The sequence below is a fragment of the Homo sapiens genome, chromosome 16 (assembly GCF_000001405.40).
Source record: "Homo sapiens chromosome 16, GRCh38.p14 Primary Assembly".
In the NCBI taxonomy this organism is placed as follows: Eukaryota; Metazoa; Chordata; class Mammalia; order Primates; family Hominidae; genus Homo; species Homo sapiens.
In genome coordinates, this window is record NC_000016.10 from 87,673,823 (window position 1) to 87,696,381 (window position 22,559).

The 22,559-nt window shown below is 58.9% G+C and overlaps 1 protein-coding gene and 1 long non-coding RNA gene across 3 annotated transcripts in view, besides 4 other annotated features; one reads left to right on the forward strand and one right to left on the reverse strand.

The window, feature by feature from the left end:
- JPH3 (junctophilin 3) overlaps nucleotides 1–22,559 on the forward strand; it is a 96,322-nt gene that overhangs the window by 71,988 nt on the left and 1,775 nt on the right. For both annotated transcript variants that reach the window (NR_073379.3, NM_020655.4), the window contains exons 3-4: nucleotides 10,320–10,444; nucleotides 15,824–16,704. Coding sequence is in view for 1 of the 2 variants with exons in the window: in NM_020655.4 (NP_065706.2) it covers nucleotides 10,320–10,444; nucleotides 15,824–16,704 (1,006 nt within the window). In the remaining variant the exon portion in view is untranslated. The remainder of the gene's footprint in view (nucleotides 1–10,319; nucleotides 10,445–15,823; nucleotides 16,705–22,559) is intronic.
- Nucleotides 1,675–2,223: an enhancer, noted in NCBI's record as "H3K4me1 hESC enhancer chr16:87709103-87709651 (GRCh37/hg19 assembly coordinates)". NCBI's record gives its function as "activates a minimal SCP1, AML or CMV promoter by ChIP-STARR-seq in primed H9 embryonic stem cells {active_cell/tissue: H9 hESC(primed)}" and the evidence as "EXISTENCE:reporter gene assay evidence [ECO:0000049][PMID:30033119]".
- Nucleotides 5,583–6,489: an enhancer, noted in NCBI's record as "H3K4me1 hESC enhancer chr16:87713011-87713917 (GRCh37/hg19 assembly coordinates)". NCBI's record gives its function as "activates a minimal SCP1, AML or CMV promoter by ChIP-STARR-seq in primed H9 embryonic stem cells {active_cell/tissue: H9 hESC(primed)}" and the evidence as "EXISTENCE:reporter gene assay evidence [ECO:0000049][PMID:30033119]".
- Nucleotides 10,944–11,528: an enhancer, noted in NCBI's record as "H3K27ac-H3K4me1 hESC enhancer chr16:87718372-87718956 (GRCh37/hg19 assembly coordinates)". NCBI's record gives its function as "activates a minimal SCP1, AML or CMV promoter by ChIP-STARR-seq in primed H9 embryonic stem cells {active_cell/tissue: H9 hESC(primed)}" and the evidence as "EXISTENCE:reporter gene assay evidence [ECO:0000049][PMID:30033119]".
- Nucleotides 11,529–12,111: an enhancer, noted in NCBI's record as "H3K27ac-H3K4me1 hESC enhancer chr16:87718957-87719539 (GRCh37/hg19 assembly coordinates)". NCBI's record gives its function as "activates a minimal SCP1, AML or CMV promoter by ChIP-STARR-seq in primed H9 embryonic stem cells {active_cell/tissue: H9 hESC(primed)}" and the evidence as "EXISTENCE:reporter gene assay evidence [ECO:0000049][PMID:30033119]".
- On the reverse strand, nucleotides 20,815–22,319 carry LOC100129215 (uncharacterized). Its single transcript, XR_109334.3, has one exon. It is a non-coding gene; the product is annotated as an uncharacterized LOC100129215 (long non-coding RNA).

A 22,559-nucleotide genomic window follows, 5' to 3' on the forward strand; every position in this document is an offset into this window, starting at 1 on the left:
GGCTGAGGCAGAAGAATCGCTTGAACCTGGGAGGCAGAGGTTGCAGTGAGCTGAGATTGTGCCACTGTACTCCAGTCTGGGTGACACAGCGAGACTCTGTCTCAAAAAAATAAAATATAAATAAATAATTTAAAAATTATTTAATAAATAAATAGAATAAGAAAGCTGTGTTTGCTGATATGGAACAATCTCCAAGATACAGTGTTAAGTTAAAAAAAAAAACAAAAACAGGCCAGGCGCAGTGGCTCACGCCTGTAATCCCAACACTTTCGGAGGCCGAGGCAGGTGGATCACGAGGTCAGGAGATCGAGACCATCCTGGCTAACACGGTGAAACCCCGTCTCTACTAAAAATACAAAAAATTAGCCAGGCGTGGTGGCGGGCGCCTGTAGTCCCAGCTACTCGGGAGTGTGAGGCAGGAGAATGGCGTGAACCCGGGAGGTGGAGCTTGCAGTGAGCCGAGATCGCGCCACTGACTCCAGCCTGGACGACAGAGCGAGACTCCGTCTCAAAAAAAAACAAAAACAAAAAAAAGCAGGGGCAGAACTGTGTGTGGTGGGCCAACACTTGTGTCCAGGTTTCTAGCATGTGAGAGTGTTTGAAAACTGGAGCCTGTCCTGTGACGGAGTCTTGTGCAGACATGAAAAACAAGAGATATCCTAGTGAGCTCCCAAACAGGGACACCCATGACAGAGTAAAAGCAGAAACAAGTCACAGGAAAAAATATGTAGAGCATAACCCCATTTGTGCGGCAAAAATAAGGTGTGTATGTCGATCACTGCATGGGAGAGGAAGCGAAAGAGAACCACTCAGAATGAAGAGTCATTTTCTGTGGGAAGCTGGACACATGTGGAAGGGTTTGAAGGAGGAGTTTTACTTTCATTCTGTACATTGTAAAATTTTTTCTAAAGAACTTGTGTTTTACTTTTGTATATTTTTATTTATTTATTTATTTTGAGATGGAGTCTTGCTCTGTCGCCCAGGCTGGAATGCAGTGGCGCGATCTTGTCTCGCTGCAACCTCTGCCTCTTGGGTTCAAGCCATTCTCCTGCCTCAGCCTCCTGAGTAGCTGGGACTACAGGCGCCTGCCACCATGCCCGGCTAATTTTTGTATTTTTAGTAGAGATGGGGGTTTCACCATGTTGGCCAGGCTGGTCTTGAACTCCTGACCTCAGGTGATCCACCAGCCTCGGCCTCCCAAAGTGCTGGGATTACACGTGTGAGCCACAGCGCCTGGCCAACTTTTGTATATTTTAAAAATAAAATATCCAGCCACAATCCCTGAGAATAGCTAGGCAGTGGAAGGATGATTTCTACCACCCCATGCCCCACCCCCCAGCTGGCAGAAGCTTTCACCCCCCGCCCCTCCCCCGCCGTTTCCCCGACTCGCTGACCCCTCCTCTGCCCCTGGGCCTTTTGCATCCTGGAGCTCTCTTCCCCTTGCCAACTCCTCCTGCCTCCCAGGCCTCAGCCACGCCTGCTTCCTTTGGGCTGATGCTGAGCACCAACCCAGAGTGTCGGTGCTGCTCATTGCTCCAGTGACCCCGTCCAGACCAGCCTCCCCGTCCAGCCTTCCTCTTGCTCCTGGGCAGGACCTGCCCTGTGCTTTGAGGCCCTGGGGCCTGCACATATCCAGCATGTGGGTGTGCCCTGTCTGTGTGTACCAGGTAAGCGGGCAGATGAGCCCAGCAGACACTGCTGCAGCCGGAGGCTGCCGGCAGCCCGCAGTGGCACAGCCGTGCTGTGGGAGGGCCTTTCTGTGTCTGGGGCTGTGTTTTCCACACTCCCCCTCTGGCTTTTACTGTTTTGCTCCGGGAGTGTGGCTTTCTAGAGTTTTGTCTGATTTTATAGCAGAGTTTCTGTTAACTCAAAAAGGGACTCCACAGTGAAGGTTTAAAGGTGGTCCCAGCTGCAGCAGGAAGCAGGTGTGGGGTGCCTGCTGCCCAGGCCCTGTTCCCCAGCACTGCTTCTGACCCAGGAGGGGCTGGGGAGAGGACCACTATTCCTCACCTTTCATACACCCACTCCCATCCTATTTCGCACCCCTTCCTCCAGGCTGCCTGCACCTCTGCCCTGCTGGCCTTTCGCTCTGTAATTCCTTTCTGAAAGAAATGTTTTCCATGAAACAACAACAGCAAGAAGAAAGCAGATCAGCTGTTGGCAGGAGCTGGGAGGAGGGATGGGGAGGGCAGCTGATGGATATGGGGTTTCTGTCGCAGGCGACGAAAGTGCTGTAAAGTTAGATCACGATGGTGGTGACCCGCCTCAGTAAATGTGCTAAAAACCAGTGAATTATACTCTCAACAGGAGTGTAATTGCTGTCTTCTTAGAACGTGTGGCCATGGAAATGTGCTCTTTTTATGTGTTTACCTTTGTATCAGCCGTCTTCTCAATGAGACCAGAATCCCTATCAGAGCAAGGACCTTGTTTGTGTCTCCCTTTTCCTCTATGTCCTAATATACAACAGTGTGTTTAGCTTGTAGCAGACACTCAATTTAACAACATCTTTTTGAACGAGTGGATCCATAAATGCATTAAGTGGCTCTGTGACTTCAGACTCTTCTTCAGGTTTACGGTATATAAATATATCATTTACGGTACCTTCATTTATGGTATATAGGTGATATTTTAGCCGGGGTGCAGTGGTTCACACCTGTAATCTCAGCACCTTGGGAGGCAGACGCAGGTGGATCACGAGGTCAAGAGATCGAGATCATCTTGGCCAACGTGGTGAAACCCCGTCTCTCCTAAAAATACAAAAATTAGTCAGGCATGGTGGTGCGCGCCTGTAATCCCAGCTACATGGGTGCCTGAGGCAGCAGAATCCCTTGAACCTGGGAGGCGGAGCTCGCAGTGAGCTGAGATCACACCACTGTACTCCAGCTTGGGTGACAGAGCAAGACTCCATCTCAAAAAAAAAATTGTTATCTCAGCCAGGCACAGTGGCTCACACCTGTAATCTCAGCACTTTGGGAGGCTGAGGCAAGTGGATCACATGAGGTCAGGAGTTCAAGTCCAGCCTGACCAACATGGCGAAACCCCGTCTCTACTAAAAATACAAAAATTAGGCCAGGCGCGGTGGCGCACGCCTGTAATCCCAGCACTTGGGGAGGCTGAAGTGGGCGGATCACGAGGTCAGGAGATCGAAACCATGGTGAAACCCCGTCTCTACTAAGAATACAAAAAATTAGCCGGGCGTGGTGGCGGGCGCCTGTAGTCCCAGCTACTCGGGAGGCTGAGGCAGGAGAATGGCGTGAACCCGGGAGGTGGAGCTTACAGTGAGCTGAGATCGTGCCACTGCAATCCAGCCTAGGCGACAGAGTGGGACTCCATTATACACACACACACGCACTATATATATATACACACACACACACACACACACACACACACACACACACACAAAAAAAAAAATTAGCCGGGTGTGGTGGGCGCCTGTAATCCCAGCCACGTGGGAGGCTGAGGCAGAAGAATTGCCTGAACCTGGGAGGCAGAGTTTGCAGTGAGCCGTGATCATGCCACTGTACTGCAGCCTGGGTGACAGAGCAAAATTCTGTCTCAAAAAACAAACAAAATAAATGATATCTCAATAAAGCTGCTAAAAAAAACTCGCCCACCAGGTACCCATCAGGTATCTTATCCAGCATAAGAACAGCTGGGCTGTGTGCTGTCTGCACCTCATCCCATGAATCTTTGCAGGGGTTCTACAAGGGTCCTCCTTACTAAACCCCCTGCACAGGTGAGGAAACTGAGGCCCAGAGATTATGCAGCCTGCCCAGGTAAAGCAGCTGGTGAACGTGGACAGCGTGGCCCCCGTCATACCTTCTCGCCAGCTGACGGTGCTGTCCAGGGAGTCTGGAAAGCAGAGATCCAAAGGAATTGGCTGGGCTGGAAGGCTCCTTACAGAAGAGCTCGCTTGCCCATTCACTCATTCATTTGTTCAGCTGAACACCCACCTACGAGTGTGTACCAGGCAGACCCGCTCCTGTCTCCACGAACCACAATCACAGAATTGTGTAAACGAGGTAAAGCCGGAGGCCTGAGATTGTGGGGATGGGGATTGAGGTCAGGACTGTCTTACCAAGGAGTGACATTTGGCCTGGGATTGAAAAGTCACGAAGGAACTGAACATTAAGACCCTGTATGTAAGGCTGGGTGTGGTGGCTCCCACTGTAATCCCAGCACTTTGGGAGGCCAAGGTGGAGGAATGCTTGAGGCCATGAGTTCGGAATCAGCCTGGGCAACATAGTGAGACCCCATCTCTACAAAAATAAACAAAATTAGCCAGGCGTAGTGTCTTCCTGCCCACTTGGGTGGCTGAAGTGGAAGGACTGCTTGAGCCCAGGAGTTCAAGACTGTGGTGAGCAGTGATTGTGCCACTGCACTCCAGCCTGGGTGACAAAGGGAGACCCTGTCTCTAAAAAATAAGATTATAAACCAGCCAGGCGTGGTGGCTCACATCTGTAATCCCAGCACTTTGGGAGGCTGAGGCGGTTGGATCACCTGAGGGTTTTGAGACCAGCCTGGCCAACATGACAAAACCCTGTCTCTACTAAAAGTAGAAAAATTAGCCGGGCTTGGTGGCACATACCTGTAGTCCCAGCTACTTGGGAGGCTGAGGAAGGAGAATTTCTTGAACCTGTGAGAAAGAGGTTGCAGTGAGCCGAGATCATGCCACTGCACTCCAGTGTGGACAGCAGAGCCAGACTCCATCACACACACACACACAATATATATATATGTGTGTGTCTGTGTATACACACTCACATACTCACACTCTCTGTAGTGGGCTGAATGGTGTCCCCAAAAGCTAGGTCTGCCTGGCAACTCACTTCCAACTTCTTGGAATAAGGGTCTCTGCAAATGGAATTAGTTAAGGATCTGCAGATGAGATTCTCCTGGATCAGGCTGGGCCCCAATCCAACGAAGAGTGCCCTCGTGAGGCAGAAGAGGAGAGAGACACGTGCCGGAGAAGGCCACATGAGGGCAGAGGCCGAGAGGCGGGAGTAAGGCCACCACGAGCCTGGGAACGCCGAGGGCGCCAGCAGCCGCCAGCAGCTGGAGAGAGGATGGATGGGAGGATTTTCTAAAGCCTTCCGATAGGGGTGTGACTTCTTGATTTTGGACTCCGGGACTGCAGGACCGTGAGAAAAGGAGTGAGTGTTAAGTCCACCTAGTTAGTGGTCATTCATTACCGTAGCCCGGGACACTTACGTGAACTTCAGACCTCAAATCCTCCCCATCTTGCAGCCCCAGGCGCAGACCTGGGCAGTGGGGCCCCCGTGTGCCCATCCCCCAGCTGGCCAGGCTCAGCTGAGAGCTCCTCGACCTCCTGCCTGTCCCTGCCACCCTTAGGAGTCCGAGAAACTGGACCTGCCCGTGGCCTGGACACCACTTCCTTTATTGCTTAGGGTTTCTCTCTTTCTTTCTTTAAAAATTTTTTAAATGAAAAATGGGGCTGAGGGAAGACTCGGTCTAAAGATAAGAGAGGGGTCACCTGGATCTGGAATGTTCTCTGGCTTTCCAGGCTGCTCTGATCGCAGACCTCCTGTCTTTAACAACCCAGCCTGGGTCAGGTCTGATGAAATGCACTTTCCAGGGAATGGGGCTGGTTTGGGCTCTGCAGAAGCTTCCCTCTTCCATCCTGGCACCGGCAGAAAAGCCCATTAAAATAATTGCAGGGAGAGACTGTTACCTAAGTTTCCTCCCCTTGAGCTGTTGGAGCTCTTCTTTGACCTTTATGGTTTTTAAAACCCTGCCAATCCTTGCCTTGTCCCCCGGACGCATTCATCCAGTGGGTTGGGAAGCTGGTGTTCGCTGTCCGGGCTGGGTCGTGCCGGCTCTCCGTGTGTGCACGTGTGGGTCTGGGCTGGGTGTTGACCTGCTCCTGGGCCAGGGCCCACCAGAGCCTTAGTCCGGGTGGCCACCATCTGGGAGGCCCGGCCGTGTCCTCTCTTACCCCAGTTCTCCAGGCACTGGCCAGGGGCCCCCTCAGCACACATGTCATAGTTGGTCCCTCCCTGCCCATGGCCCTTCAGAGGCCCCCAGCTGGTCTTGGGAGGAGGGTGCCTGTGTGGGCCAGCTTTCAGCACAGCCCCCGCCCTCTGCTCCAGCCTTGGGTGCACCCCAACCCCACCCAGCTGACCAGCCTGTTGGGGGGCCTGTGGACCCCGCCTCTAAGCCTGGGTCTTCCTCTGGGCACCCGTTGGGGACAGGGCAGCCACACACCCAGCCCAGGGTGTGGTCTCCCCACCCAGCTGCCTCCCTTGCAAAGGCAGGGTTGCCTTGGCAATGACACCTGAGGAGGAGACGCTTGCCCTGGGTGCGCTGTTTCCCTGTCTTCAGTAAGGGAGGAGGCTGGCTTCCTCTGGCGGAGGGAGGCAGCAGCTCTCCTTTGCCTTGGAACCCGCTTTGCTCCAGTGATCCCTGAGCCACCACATTGGTAAGACTGGCTGGAGCTGAAGGTCCGAGTGTGGCTTCAGGACTGGTGACGATGGCCAGGGATGAAGGGCTGCGGCGTGTGGAGGGGCTGCGCCCGGAAGGAAGCGGTGTGGACCCAGAAGGAAGCGGAGCCCTGGTGGGCAGCCTGGCTGTGCTCTGGCCCAGGAACCGGGCCTTTTCTTGCCTCTTGCCTCTGACTCAGAGCGGCTTGTGGGAGCCTCGCATGCAGGGCCAGGCAGGGCAAGAACGATCGCGACCTTTTCCTCCAGGGAAGGTTGCAAGAAAGGCGGGATCTGTAACGTGACTAGGTGGAGGCACTACGGAGCCATGGTGCAGGGGTGGGGGGCCCCAGGTGAGCTCAGATGCCCTCCCTGCCTGTGCCACCGTGGCCTGACCCTCCACAGGTGGGAGCCATAGGCGTCAGGAGCCATTACCCCTTGGAGAACTGGGTGCCAGGCCGAGACCTGGTGTCTCATTTATGACAAACCGCTGCAGTGCGTTTGGGAGTCTCCTCCTCCATGACGTGCTTGTCTGGATTGGTTTTATTTTAGTGCAGGCACCACGTCGTCTTTTTATATACGTGTGAACGTATATATGTAAACACACGTATGATGTTGGTGAGTTCATGTTGGTGGTATTTTTACTAAGCAAAGATGTGGGAACCAAATGGGCCCATCCGGGGAGTTTCCCATTTGGTCCCTCGTGCTGTGTGTGGTGGGGGGCATTGTGGTCGAGGTCTGAACAGCCGGGGAAGTGAAAGACCCCGTCCTCTCCGGGAGCTTACGGGAGTGGGAGAGACATTGACGAAATATTACCCATCGCAGGAGTCAGGTGCACACAGTGATGATAGTTCCGGGAGGTCAGGTGCGCGCGGTGATGACAGTTCCGGAAGGTCAGGTGCACGCGGTGATGACAGTTCCGGGAGGTCAGGTGCACGCGGTGATGACAGTTCCGGGAGGTCAGGTGCGCGCGGTGATGACAGTTCCAGAAGGTCACGTGCGCGCGGTCGTGACAGTTCCAGAAGGTCAGGTGCGCACGGTGATGACAGTTCCGGGAGGTCAGGTGCGCGCGGTCGTGACAGTTCCGGGAGGTCAGGTGCGCGCGGTGGTGACAGTTCCGGGAGGTCAGGTGCGCGCGGTCGTGACAGTGCCGGGAGGTCAGGTGCGCGCGGTGGTGACAGTGCCGGGAGGTCAGGTGCGCGCGGTGGTGACAGTGCCGGGAGGTCAGGTGCGCGCGGTGGTGACAGTGCCGGGAGGTCAGGTGCGCGCGGTCGTGACAGTGCCGGGAGGTCAGGTGCGCCTGGTGATGACAGTTCCGGGAGGTCAGGTGCGCGCGGTGATGACAGTGCCGGGAGGTCAGGTGCGCGCGGTCGTGACAGTGCCGGGAGGTCAGGTGCGCGCGGTGGTGACAGTTCCGGGAGGTCAGGTGCATGCGGTGATTGTTCCGGAAGGTCAAGTGCATGTGGTCATAGTTCCAGAAGGTGTCCCCGGGGCAGGATATGTTTTCCTATTTTCCTTGGCTTCCGGGGAGCTTGGAGCCTGCTTTCCTTTGGGTCCTGGGCTGATTTTCGGGCAGGTGCTGGGATGCAGTGTCCTGGGTGCTGCAGCATGGCTGAGCCTCGGATTCTCTGTCCAGGGCTAGCTGTGTTCAGGCCGCGCATCTTTAGTTTTGGGGCATCGCAAATCCTCCTGGAATCTGATGAAAGCTGTGGACCCTCTGCTTGTGGCGGGGGGTCATGCAGAAAACTTTGAGTACAGTTTCAGGAGATGCACGGACCACCCAAGGGCCTGGAATCGGAGCCCCCACAAGACAGGGGGTGTGCTCTCTGGGCCAGCGTTTGGAGCACTCTCTGGCTCTTGGAGCCCTGGTGGGGCATTCCCAGCAGCTTGCTTCATTTCCTGGACACGTGTTCTTGGCTGTGGTTTATATTACTCTCTGTATGTAAATGTCATAGGTTTTTTTTCTTCTAGTAAAATTGTTCCTAGTTAGCACAGTGGAATCTTGAAACAAGAAAGCCATCTTTCATGAACAGTGTGTGGTTTCCAGGCTTAGCCCATGGAGTTGGAGTGACAGGTATGGCAGAGATGGGGGGTCAGGCTGCGTAGAAGGTGTTTGCGCCCCCTAGGTGCAGGTGTTAATCCTCACCACCAGGGCGATGGTGCTAGGATGTGGGGCCTTTGGGAGGTGATGGGGCTGAGGACTGAGCCTCATAGTGGGGATTAGTGCCCTGATGAAAGAGGCCTCAGAGAGCACCCTCGCTTCTTCTACCATGTGAGCACCCAGCAGGAAGGTGCTGTCCAGGACCCAGAAAGTGGGTCCTCTGCAGACACCAAATCTGCTGGCACCTTGATCTTGGACTTCCAGCCTCCGGAACTGGGGGAAAGCAATGTCTGCTATTGATGAGCCGCCCAAGCTGCGGTGCTTTGTTGCAGCCCCAACAGGCTAAGTCAGGAACCGTGAACAGGAGACCTCCCAGGGAGTCTGCTCGGAGGGGGGATTTGTCGTGGGGGAATTGGTCATTGTGCCTCAGTTTCCCCATTGTTGGGGAAGTGGTGCCCATGGCCACTGGCAGGCCCCCCCGGGGGCCAGCACACCAGGTAGGAAGAAATGCAAGCCCCAGGCTGCTGAGATGCACAGAGCCCCACATTCTGCCTTCGGGACGTCTGTCTAGTCCCTTGTCTTACAAAGGGTGGGCAGGTCCCCTGCAGGACTCAGCAGAGGGAGAGACACAGTCAGGGAGCGGCCAGAGGGGTGACGTGCCCGGCTGCCCACAGGTACAATGGCTCCTTCGTGTCACACATGGGTGTCGGCGTCATCTTTCGGCTGGGTGAGGGAACTGCCCAGCTGCCCAAGCCCTGGGTTCCCAAGTCAGAGTTGCTGGGATTACTGGGCAGGGAGGTGGTCCCGCAACCCACACCGGGGCAGTGGCAGGAAGCACAGACACACACAGCACAGCGGGCCGGCACCGCCGGGGTGGGTTGTCTGGGCTTGGACTCTTTCTGTGCACATGCTGATGTTTGTTGATAATAAGAACAGAAACATTTTCTTTTTTTTTTTTTGAGATGGAGTCTTGCTCTGTCACCCAGGCTGGAGTGCAATGGCGTGATCTCCGCTCACTGCAACTTCCGCCTCCCAGGTTCAAGCAATTCTCCTTCCTCAGCCTCCTGAGTAGCTGGGATTACAGGCACGTGCCACAACACCCGGCTAATTTTTGTAATTTTTAGTAGAGACGGAGTTTCACCATGTTGTGCAGGCTGGTCTTGAACTCCTGACCTCATGATCTGCCCGCCTCAGCCTCCCAAAGTGCTGGGATTACAGGCGTGAGCCACTGTGCCCAGCCCCTCCCCTTTTTTTTTTCCTTGAGACAGAGTCTTGCTCTATTACCCAAGCTGGAGTGCAGTGACGCGATCTCAGCTCACTGCAACCTCCACCTCCCAGATTCAAGCAATCCTCCTGCCTCAGTGTCCCGAGTAGCTGGGACCACAGATGCGTGCCATCACACCCAGCTAATTTTGTATTTTTGGCAGAGACAGGCTTTTGCCATGTTGCCCAGGCTGGTCGTGAACGCCTGAGCTCAAGCGATCTTCCTGCCTTGGCCTCCCAAAGTGCTGGGATTACAGGCGTGAGCCACCATGCCCTGCCCAGAGGTGTTTTCAAGCATGTCCTGTGCACTGGGCCTGGTTGGTTGATGCTCAGTGATGTTTATTGAATGAATGAATGAATGAACGAACAAGATCCAGAAGTCTGAGGGTAAACATGGGGTGCCAGCATCTTGTCTTAGCCCAGCCCGTTGTTGGGGGGTTGGCAGAGTACCTCAACCCAGACCCCTGTCACCTGTGCCCCCTGCCCCCCCTCACGCTCCTCCCTGTCTCCCCCAGGACCTCCCACTCTCGGGCAAAGGCCGAGGCAGCCCTCACAGCAGCTCAGAAAGCCCAGGAGGAGGCGCGGATCGCCAGGATCACTGCCAAAGAGTTCTCCCCTTCCTTCCAGCACCGGGAAAACGGTGAGTCTCGCCGGGCCTGATACTGGCATCGTGGGGAGGGGGTGCGTGGATGGCTGGGCAGTCCTGGCAGCAGATGTGTCCTCCAGAGCGGGTAGGCTTAGATGGGCTCAGCCCCAGCTGCTCCCCTGCCCGGTGTCTTCCTCTCCCGCCGAAGGTGCTTGTTTGTGCCAAGGCCTGGCCTGGCTCCCCGGGACACAGGACATGTGTCTTGGCAGGTCTCTCCCATTCCCACAGTCCTTGGGGCACCGCGTGTTGCTTGCCGGCTGTCCCTGACGGTGAATTCCCACCTGCCCAGCCTGTGCTGTCTGCTGCCCGCCCTCCCCCAGTGTTGTTCTAGAACCTTCTGGGATGATGGAACTATCTGCTGGGTCCAGCGTGGCAGCCATTAGCTGGGTGTGTCTGCGGTCCTGGCTCTTGACCTGCCTCTGATGTGAACTAACTTACCATTAAACACACCCAGTGGCTGCTGGGTTGGACAGCGTCACAAATGGCAGCTCCCGCTGTGCCCCTCGGAAAGAGCTGGAAGCTGCTGCCTGATTTAGGAACCTCGTCCTCCCTTCGAGGGGGGGATCATGGGTGATACGGCCCAGTGACAGTGGCGGGGGCGTGGAGGGTGTGGGGTGGGTGGCGGAGAGGCCGTGGCCAGCTGCCTCCCATCTCCTACCTCATCTTGGAGGAAGCTTCCTCTGCACCAGGAGGCCCCAGAGAATGGGGTTAGGAGCGCGCCCCCTCAACCCGAGCTCTGACCGGTGAGCGGTATTCGGATGAGGCTCTGCGCGCTGGAGGTCCGCACCTGACACCACAGCCCTGAACTTGCTCGCAACGCCTGCCACTCTGGCCACCAGGACAGGATGAGGAGCCCAGCCTGGGGGCTGCGGGGCTGGGCGCTCCCCTGACTGGAACGCGAGACCACATCATCTCTAGAGGTGACCGTCCGCCACCACTCCAAGACCTTGCCTTCACTGGGCGAGTGCCGGGCCCTGCAGAGCCTGCAGCTGCAGCCTGGAGGTCAGGAGGACGAGCCCCCGCACCCCCACCGCCTTGGGCAGCTTCTATTCCACTGCGTCCCCTCCACTCTCCTGGCCCCTCCAGACACACGCACCCCAAAGTGTCCAAGTGGGAGGGCAATGGGCCACGTGCCCCTGTGGCCATTGGCATCCTCCATGGTCTCGCCCTCAGGCCCTGAGTTTCCTTCTCCCTGGGGCCCCTCCTTGCCTCGCCCACGACCAGCTGCCTGGGCTGGGAGGCGGTGGGGCGCACACTTGGGGGCACACGTGTAGCGTGCACGTGCATGTGGGGAGTGGGTGCAGTGCTGCGGGATGGACGAACGGAACAGGGATGCTGGAGAGGAAGCCAGTGCCGTCGGGGGCACCTGCCAGAACCCTGGCTGGGCCACTCCACGCAGAATGCACGTAGGACGGCATGGGATTCCACGTACCAACCCTGGCCCATGGTCGCCTCAGCTCCAGCCCTGCCTGCGACTCACATTCCACTGCCTGCGGCCTGTTTTGTTTCCTCTCAGAGCCTCAGTTCCATGTGTGAAAGGAAGGGGACCAGACAGGGAACATTGAAGCCTCCATCCTGTGCCAAATCCCCCAAGAGACGCATCCACCGGAAGCTCCCAACGTGACTTATTTGGGAGGAGGGTCTGTGCAGGTGTCATTATGGAACAGACTTTGAGACAAGATCAGCCTGGATTGGGGTGAGTCCTAGATCCACGCGGCGTCCTTAGAAGAGACAGAAGAGGAGGAGACAGGGGCGGATGGAGTGATGTCAGAGATCACTGGAGACTCCGTGGCTGGAGGGTGGCTGGAGCGGAGACCCTGGAAGGAAGCAGCACTCCCGACACCTGGATCACGGCTTCTAACTTCCAGAAACACGAGTTTGCCTTTTGGGTGTTTCTACCCCCACCCCCGCGTGGTGCTTTACTGCTCCAGTCCCAAGAAATGGGTGCAGGCTCCCCCACCCTGAGAATTCCAGTTAAGACTCTGGAGTCGGAGATGCTTCCTGGAGGGCTCAGTCCTGGAGTCAGAGGAGATGCTTCCTGGAGGGCTCAGTCCTGGAGTCAGAGATACTTCCTGGAGGGCTCAGTTCTGGATTCAGAGGAGATGCTTCCCAGAGGGCTCAGTCCTGGAGTCAGAGATGCTTCCTGGAGGGCTCAGTTCTGGATTCAGAGGAGATGCTTCCCAGAGGGCTCAGTCCTGGAGTCAGAGATGCTTCCTGGAGGGCTCAATCCTGGAGTCAGAGATGTTTCCCGGAGGGCTCAGTCCTGGAGTCAGAGATGCTTCCTCGAGGGCTCAGTCCTGGAGTCAGAGATGCTTCCTGGAGGGCTCAGTCCTGGACTTGGAGATACTTCCTGGAGGGCTCAGTCCTGGATTCAGAGGAGATGCTTCCCAGAGGGCTCAGTCCTGGAGTCAGAGATGCTTCCTGGAGGGCTCAGTCCTGGATTCAGAGGAGATGCTTCCTGGAGGGCTCAGGTCCCTGCAGGAGGGGCCTTGGGCTGACCTTTTAAGTCCTGAAGCTGCCTCCTCCGACAGTTCTTGTCTTCATGATACAGATGCGGGCCCCTGTGGGGGCCGCTGTGATGGAGAGACGGGGCCGCTGCTGCCTCACTGGTGGGAGTCCAGTCCTCGAGGGTCTGGCCAAGTTGGCCTCACCTCCTGCTGCTGCACCTTGGAGCCTGGCTCACTCTGAGCACCTCGGTCCGATCTGCCACCTCTTTGGGTGGCGCCCCGGAGCCTTCTCTGAGCAGCATCTTCCCTGGAGGGGGCGTTGGGACCGTGTGTTTTTTACAAGCGCTGGGACTGGCATGAGATTTGATCCAAGCATTTCTTGTTTCCGCCTTGGATGCATTCAGGATCAGTGTTCCCAGACCAGGCACCCCGGGGCCTTCTCGGCTGCTGGGGAGGGGTGGGGCTGGGGGAAGCTGTCCAGGTCCTTCCTCAGTCGTCCTCACAGCCAGGAGCTGAGGTCACCAATGACAGATGACAGAACAGAGCCTCCAAGAGGGGAACAGGGTTGCCAGAGCGCTCAGGCAGGATGTGGTGGAATCAGGATTTAAAACGAGGCTCTGAAGCCTGGGCCATGCCGGCTTCTAGAGAAGCAAACCATCCAGCGCTTCGGCTGCAGAGAGTGGCTGGCGCCAGCCTCTTGCTGCCTGTCTGGGAGGTCCCTGGCAGCCTCCCAGCCCGAGAACTCTGACCGTCAGGGTTCTGCCCAAGGCCACGTGAAGGCAGGACCATGAAGGAGCCTGGCCATGCGGTGTCCAGTGCCCAGGCCACTTCCGGTGCCATCCGCCCCCGCCCCAGAGGCAGGAGGACTGAGCGTCGGAGGCTGCAGGACGCAGGTGGCTTGAAGGCACAGGAAGAAGCTGCAGGGGCTTCACGAGGACCCGCCCTGCATCCTCACCACGAGGCTTCTAGGAACGTTACCTGCTCAGCAGCTCATTCTAGCTGAGGGTGCCCTCCTGCTGGTGGTGCTGGGAGTCGGGGCCCCTCTAGCGTGGGGTCTCCTGGGCCAGCCAGGCCTGATCTCGGCAGCAGTGGGTGGACGACCTGGTGGGAAAGGCCGGGGCGCCATCGGGGGATGGGGGGGGCCTTGATCCCAGCCTGCTAGGTCCATAGCGTCTAAGGCACAGGAATGCCAGCCCCTTGGAAGTCCCATCCTGGCCAAGGAGGAGGTACGATGTGGGTGATCCGTGGGCATGATTGGGGGCCTCTGATGGGGCCAGGGCTGCCCTCCACACAGGACCCTCACGGGGAGAGAGGTGGTGGGGCTGGGCGTCAGGTGGGTACGTGGATGTCAGCACAGTTCTACACAGACCTTCTCTGGCCCATTCCCTGCTCTGCTCGGGGGACACCCAACCAGCCCAGCCCTGTTTCTGGGGAGTGACCACAGAGAAGCAGTCATTGAGACCTCAGAGTGGCCCACCCACACCCCCGTGTGACAGGAACTCAGACTTGGGAGGGCTGGCCACCCACCCAGAGCTACCCAGCTGTGCCCCAAGCCCCAGGCCAGGGCCATGGCCTCGCTCTGCTCAGCACTGCCTCTTAGACCAGCAAGGAGGAGGACACAGCAGCCCAGCCTGGTGGCGTCGCAGCGTGCCCCGAATCTGCTTGCTAACGTCTCTTTACAAACGGAGGGACTATCTGGTGCCACACCGAGGGTAGCCATGTCTCCCAGACCTTCTCCTGCCAAAAGGTCAGACTGGGGTACAGGCGTCTCCCAGACCTTCTCCTGCCAAAAGGTCAGACTGGGGTACAGGCCAGGAGAATGTCCGAGCGTGAGAGACTCTAAGATGGGCAGTGGCTCTTGGTGTCCGAGCTGGTCTCATGAGGTGGCCGCCCCGGGTAGAGCTCTGAGACCTCCGTCCTCAGAGGGAAGACTCCCCAAATTCCCACAGAGCTCTGCACCATTTTGGCTCGGGCAGGACGGGGATGCTGGGGGCGGGGGTCCCACTGTTCTGTGCTGAGCCTAGGACGCTACTTGAGATGAACGTGTAACTGTTCCCCGGAGGGTAAGAAGCGCCGCGTTCTTGGGTTTCTCCTAATGGAATAAAGTCGGGCATGGCTCCCGTGTCCCTGCGTTGGCAGGAAATGAGATCCCAGTCAATGTTCTTGGTTCTCACCTCCTGCTGGGGGCTCACGGAGCTCCGGAGAAGTCTCGGGGCTAGTCCTACAATGCTGCCCCTCCCTATCCAGGCCTCCGGGTGGGGGCTGATGGGGACTGAGCCACCGGCAGACGACAGGGACTCTGCTGGCTGCAGAGCTGGCCCCTGGGTCCTGTGGTGACCTCCCCTTCCGGGGAGCCCCGCCCTAGGACTTGAAGCCCCAGCAGCCTCGAAAGGTGGGGAGGGAAGTCGGCTCCTGGGCTCTCACGCTGGCCCCGGCACTGGCTGTTTCTCAGCAAGACTGTCCCAGCACCCTGAGACACAGTCCCAGGCGGGTAGGGGTGTTGGCGGCCTTGCTGTGACAGCTCGGCCTCCCCAGACAGGTGGTCAGCTAGGGTGAGGGGCTTCCTCTTACCCTCAGGACAGGCGAGTCAGGGTTGGTGGGACCTGAGTCCACACCCCAGCGTCCTCACGCACTTTCCGAGCCTTGGGTCTCCCTTGTAGCCTGGGAGCTGCTGTCCGCCCTTCCTGTGGTGCCTGGGCCTAGCCAGTCTCCCTCCAAGTGTCTGTGGGGTGGGGACCACGGGGGTCCCACAGAGGGCTTTGGGAGCCACGGTCCCCACTCCCCTCCCTTGCCTGCAGCCTTTCGGTGAGTGGGAAGCGCCTCTGCTGCCCTGAGGTTCCCTCTGGCGCCCTGGCCCGGGGACCGCGGCCTCGCTGTGGAATGTGCTGGGTAACGCCGTCTGGCGTCGTCTTGTGTCCCCATACAGGGCTGGAGTACCAGAGGCCGAAGCGTCAGACCTCCTGTGACGACATCGAGGTGCTGTCCACCGGGACACCCCTGCAGCAGGAGAGCCCCGAGCTGTACCGCAAGGGCACCACTCCCTCCGACCTGACCCCCGACGACAGCCCCCTGCAGAGCTTCCCCACCAGCCCCGCGGCCACCCCGCCGCCCGCGCCCGCCGCCAGGAACAAGGTCGCCCACTTCTCGAGGCAGGTGTCGGTGGACGAGGAGCGGGGCGGGGACATCCAGATGCTCCTGGAGGGCCGGGCCGGGGACTGCGCCCGCAGCAGCTGGGGCGAGGAGCAGGCCGGGGGCTCCAGGGGTGTCCGCAGCGGTGCCCTGCGCGGCGGCCTGCTCGTGGATGACTTCCGCACCCGAGGTTCGGGCCGCAAGCAGCCCGGGAACCCCAAGCCGCGGGAGCGGCGGACGGAGTCACCCCCCGTGTTCACGTGGACTTCCCACCACCGGGCCAGCAACCACAGCCCCGGAGGCTCCAGGCTGCTGGAGCTGCAGGAGGAGAAGCTGAGCAACTACCGGATGGAGATGAAACCCTTGCTGAGGATGGAGACGCATCCCCAGAAAAGACGCTACAGCAAGGGCGGCGCCTGCCGGGGCTTGGGGGACGACCACCGCCCCGAGGACCGGGGCTTCGGGGTGCAGAGACTGCGGTCCAAGGCCCAGAACAAGGAGAACTTCAGGCCGGCCTCCTCCGCGGAGCCCGCCGTGCAGAAACTGGCGAGCCTGCGGCTGGGCGGGGCCGAGCCCCGGTTGCTGCGTTGGGACTTGACCTTCTCCCCGCCCCAGAAATCCTTGCCTGTCGCTCTAGAGTCCGACGAGGAGAATGGGGATGAGCTCAAGTCCAGTACGGTGAGTGGGCGGCCACCAGGCTGGTCCCAGTGGAGGCAACATCCACCTCTCTGCTGACCTGGTGTTTCCTGAGGGTTTCCAGCAAGGTCACTGCTCCCCTGTTCCTCTCCAGGGGTGGAGTAGGGTGGGGGTACAGCCGGGAGTGGTGGCCCTCAGGTCGCTGGGACCCTCCCCTAGGAAGCCAGGTGGGGCAGGTGTCATACCTCTTTCCGTGAGAGGCTGCCCCCAGGTTGTCCAGAAAGCACACGAAACTCCTGGTTTCCAGGCAGCATGGGATCCCTGCGCTCCCCGCAACGTGCTCAACCCCAGCTGCTCCAAGAGTCTGTGCCCCTGGTCAGTAGCCTTGGGCCGTGAGATGACCGCTTGAGTGTCCTGTGTCCTGGATAGGAACCCAGAGGCGAAACAGCTGGGGGCAAGGCTGGCCCTGGGGCTGGGAGTCAGGTCTGGGGTTGGGGGGAGCTGCCAGTCCAGGTTTCTCTCACCCATGGGGGGTGTTGGGGTTGGAGCCGGCTCCCACGTGAGGCCCGCTGTGTGCAACTCACCGTCAGCCTCACCCAGCACCCCCCCCCCAAATTCGTTCCTCCAGGGCAGGCAGCTTGGAGGGAAGAACAGCGTCCCCCTGGGCTAGACTCGGCGCGAGGCTGGGGGTCCCAGGCTAGACTCGGTGTGCGAGGCTGGGGGTCCTGGTGCCTCACACAGGGCTGGCCTCCCCTTGAAGGGACCTTCACTCTGCAAATCCCACCCTGCTCCCTTGACCAGTGCTGCAGGAATGAAGGGCTTTGGGAATGAAGGGCTGTGGGACGGTGGCTACATAGGATCTGCGCACGGCCAGGCCCTCACCCCAGCAGGGCTCTGCTCGCTCGTGGCTGCCAGGCAGTGCGTGGTGCTGAACAGAAGTGCTGCAAGCCAGTCTGCCCCTCGGGTGTGAGGACGCAGGGGGGTGTCCGCAGGGGGCGCTCAGGGCGTGTGGGCCGGGCAGGGGGGACCATTGGTAGGTTTATTGTCGACGCTGCGGCAGGGGTCGGTGTCTGTCCCTGCCCCTGACCTAGGGGAGCTGTGGTTTTCTCCTCCTGCCAGCCCCACCCCCAGAGGGGTCACCGCGTGACACCCCTTTGAAGGGGCACGTCCTGCCGGGCGGCAATGCCTGTTTCTGCCTCTCCTTGGAACCACTGCGGACGTCTGTCTGTCCTGTTGGGTTCCTAAGATGCCTCCCCGTTCCCCAAAGCCCACAGAGAACAGCCCCTATGCTCCTGCTGGGACCAAAATACCAGCTCACACTTACAACTTGATTTTCCCCATCGCAGCCGGAGATGTGTGCGTGGCTGTGCGCGCGCGGTTATTTTAGGAACAGCCAAGCAGTGGGCAGGGTGGGAGGTGTAGGGACGGGTTCTATTTTTAGCCTGCTTAATGCACTGACACTTTTGGGTGCTTTTAAATGAACCTCCCTGGGGGTCAATGCACAAGCTGGGGACAAGTGCCAAGCTGGCCTCTGGGATGAGTTAGCGACACGCAGGGTGCTACATGCTGCCCTGGTCCTGCCCGGTCTCCAGCTGGGGCTAATCTGGAGGTCCCGTCAGCTGCAGCATCATGTCCCACCCACCCTGGAGGATGCCAGCTGAGCTCCTTGGAAGTGGCCACCCTGGGGTACCTGGTGCTGGTGCAAACAAGGTTTCCCTCCCTGTCTCCCTCCCCGTCTCCCTCCCCACAGCTTTGGAGCTGTGTTTTCTGCCAGGTCTGTGAGGGGAGATGGTGTGTAGAGGCGCGGTCAATCCTAAGCACTGTTCCAGGCCCTGTTGGTGGGAAGCAGGAGGGGCCCGTGCCAGCCGGCATCCATGTCAGGGGACAGGTGTCAGGGCAGTCGGGTGCCAGGCTGGGCTGAGTGCCTTCAGTGCCACCCCCTCACAGGGGTACAGCTCTCTGCAGTGTCTCCCCTGGGCCACCAGCAGGGTCTGGGGTGCTGTCTTCTGGCCATCCCCCTCCACCATTCCCAACATGCTGCAGAGCTCACACGCCAGAGGCCCTGGGTCCCACTGGCCACAGATGGGCCTGGGATTCTAGCCCACATAGGGTCCCACTGGCCACAGATGGGCCTGGGATTCTGGCCCGTGTAGGGCCCTGGCAATTCAGGGTAAAGTCCCTTAGGATGGAAGCACAGGTTCTCCCTACCGCTCTACTGGTGAAGGAACTCTGGCCCTGGCTGTTTCCCTCTTGGTGAAATGATGGATATGACCTGATGGTGGGGTCCAGGGTTGGAGGATGGCTGGGGAGACAGAAGCTTCCCTCCTGCGGGCAGCCACGCCCTCGCCCACAGCGTCCGTACCTGCTTCCCGGCCCAGAGCACGGGCTGGACTGTGGCAGAAGAGGTGCCACTGACCACCCCACTCTGTCCTGCTACCCCACTACAGGCTGACTAGCATCCGGCCCTTCCTCCTCGCTGGGGTGGGGGAACTTTGCACCAGGGGTGGCATCAGTGGGCAGGGCTGGGCCCTTGGCTGTTCTCTGCCCCCTGCAGGCTGGCCCGGCCCAACCAAGTTGTCATGGGGCCCAAGACTCACAATACACCTGCCTGAGGCCACGATGCCACGGAAAGCTGGGCTCAGGGCAGCTTGCTTTCTCTCTGGCTGAGTGGAGGCCCTTGCTGTGTCCACAACTCCACTTCCATCTGCGCCTCAGGTCCCTGATAGGCTGGGAGGTTGCGGAGGGTGTGGGCCTGGTGCTGCTGTGGCTGCAGGTGCCCCCTAGGCAGCACCTCACCCTCTGAGGACCCTCCTCTCTGAGCTGCATCCCAAGGACAGTTTACAAAGCCCTTTGCTGACTGGGGTTCAGCTTATCTGTTGAGCAAACTTTTTCTTTAAAAAGTTTCTTGGCCAGGCACGGTGGCTCACACCTATAATCCCAGCACTTTGAGAGGCCGAGGCAGGTGGATCACCTGAGGTTATCAGTTCGAGACCAGCCTGGCCACCAGGGTGAAATCCTGTCTCCACTTAAAAATACAAAAATTAGCCGGGCATGGTGGCACACGCCTGTAATTCCAGCTACTCAGGAGGCTGAGGCACAAGAATTTCCAGAACCCGCAGGAGGCAGAGGCTGCTGTGAACTGAGATCATGCCACTGCACTCCAGCCTGGGCAACAGAGCGAGACTCCATCTCAAAAGTTTCTCAAGCCAGTGTCTCTAGGGCCTGAGGGCTCCAATCCCCAGTGTGAGGTGAGGCGCTCGGGCCTGGGAGCTGATGCCCAGCATACAGTCGGGGGTGCCCCTGCCAGGTGTGGTGCAGAGCACGGCGGGGGTGTGTGAGACCTGAGGATAGCGTCTGGATGTTTCTCTCACGTTAACGGGAATGAGATAGGCTCATTGGCTGCTCATCCCCAAATCCAAATGGAAAACCGCCATTCGGGCCAGGCAGAGGCAAGTACTCCCACCCGTTGCCGCTGCCGTGTTGAGCCCACCGTGCCGAGTGGTGTTGGCAGGAGCCTCCCGAGGAAGCTGTGCCAACGCAGGAGTGGTCAGAGCCTGTCCAGGCCACAGACGGGGCTACGATGAGCACTGCTGCCCAGGGCATGTTGGGGGCAGCTCCTGGAGACCACAGGGAGGGGAGGTGGGCACCCAGGTGTGGGCAGAACTGGACCAGGAGGAGGAGGGGCAGCAGCTTGCTCAAGGCACAGGGCCTCAGCCACAGGGTGGCGGGCTGGGAAGGGGCGAGGGTGTGGTGGGTTCTGAGTGCCCCATGCAACGGCTGTTTTGGGCCACGTGCTCAAGCAGGCACCCAGGGAAGACCAGCCTAGGTGCTGGCGTGAGGCCCTTCAACATCAGCTACGATGCTGCTTCATCAGGAGCACAGCCTGGGGAAAGAATGAAACTGACCCAGGAGACAAAAGGGTCCCCGGGCCAGACGGTCAAGCAGGAGGCTGCTTCGCTGCCGCGGGATGTGGCATCCAGGCTAGGCAAGGGGACGGCAGGCTGCCATCCCCAGAGGGAGTTCTCCGGGCAAGGCCGTGACCCCACTGGGGCTCTGAGTTTGCATCCTTCCTGTGTGTCAAGAGCAGAGCCGGCCACTGCCAGCCCATAGCTCCCATGGTGCGGCCCTGGAGAGCTGACTTCATGCGGGATGTCTGCTGTTCTTTGCGTAGCTTTACTGAGACAGAAAGCGTGTACTGTTCACTTCAGGTGGCCACAGTGTACAAGTCAGGGATTTTAGTGTATTCCCAGTTATACAGCCATCACCCCCAATTCTATCTAGATCAGCTCCATCACCTTAAACCTCAGGGCCATTGAGCAGGCACTTGCTGTCCCCTCCTCCCCCAGCTCCCGGACTCTGCTTTCTGCCTGGTGCCCAGCTTCTCACGCAGCATGCACTGCTCCTGCGCTTTCTCTGTGGCAGCCGCGGTTGCACGGCCCATGTCTTCCCCGCTGTGTGTTCATCCTCCACTGGACAGCTGGCTCTGCTTCCACTCCGTGGCTGTTGTGAATCCTGCTGCCGGGAGTGTGTGCACACACAAGGTTTTGAGTGGAGGCTTGACTTTGCCCTCTTAGATTTAGGCCTGGGAGTGGAACTGCTGGGTCCCCGGTGTTCTCATCAATTCTCTTCCAGTCTCTGGGAGAGGAGCCAGCAGCAGCTGCTTCGTTGTGGGTGGGGGGAAGGGGGAGGCCCGTTGTTCGGGCTCCCCTCCTTAATGCAGGCCTGAGCAGCCCTCACCTGGTGCCACATGAGCTACTCAGTCTTAACAGACCACCCCATCATGTCTTTGAAATTTGACCAGAGGCCAGACTTGGGGGCTTAAAGGAGTCCATGGAAAACCAGTCTGTTAACAGGGAGGGGGAGGAGAGTAGCCATCCCTGAGGAATGTGCATCCTGGGACCTTCAGGACAAGCCCTGGTCCATCTGTGTCGCACAGCAGCAGGATGTCTGCGTGGTAGGAAGTGGAGGGCTCCGGGGGCTCTGAACAGCTCCTTACCACAGTGGGGTCTACATCTCCTTCCAGGTGGCTGCGAGATGCAGGGCGTGGTGGGGGTGGGGAGAGGCAGGGGCAAGTGTCCTCTGGAAGCAGACTGTGGGCAAGACTGGAGTGGGTGTCCCAGCCATTCCTGGGCTGGGGCCACCGTCCAGGAGGCGTCCATTCCCTGTGCAGCAGGTACTGTATCTGTAGGGCAGCACCCACCCCTGCCGTCCTGGGAGCTTCCCAGAGGGGCCACGCTCCCTCTCCCCCTGCCTGGTGTGAGCAGAACACAGCAGAGTGCAGGACTGCAAGAATCACTGCAGAAGGGCGCCCCCGGAAAAGGCTCTGTTGTGAGACGTGTCCTACCTGGCCCCGGCAAGCACAGGGAAGGTGGCAGCTTGGTCCGAGTGCCCAGGCTGTGCGGCTGAAGGGGGAGTCTGGCACTTGGGGCTCCGGCGGAGGCTGAGGACTTGTGAGCCACTTCAGGGAGGTGGTGGCAGCAGCATTCAGGACCATAACCTAAATCCAAGGCAGCTCGCAATTGGACACAGTCCTCCAGAGCCAGTTGGCGTGAGGGGTTTGTTGAGGAAGGTGTGGTGAGGGGGGGTTTTGTTGAGGACACTGTGCTCACGGACTTTGGGAGTCCTCTGAGTTCCAGGGCCTCTCTGCTGGGCTGCATCTGACACTGGCCATGGCAGCCATGCGGGCCCTTCTGAGATTCTGAGGTCCCAGTTCCACAGGGCAGGAGAAGCCTGCTGACTGGCACAAAGGCCACACGCACCGAGACGTTTGCTTGCAGGGAGGCCTGGGTGGTTCTCTCCAAGGGGACCCTGGGAGAGCTGGTACTCAGGGTGTCGGGGCCACAAGGGAATTCCAAGGGAATTCCAGGACCAGCAACCTCAGACGTACAGGCAGCTGG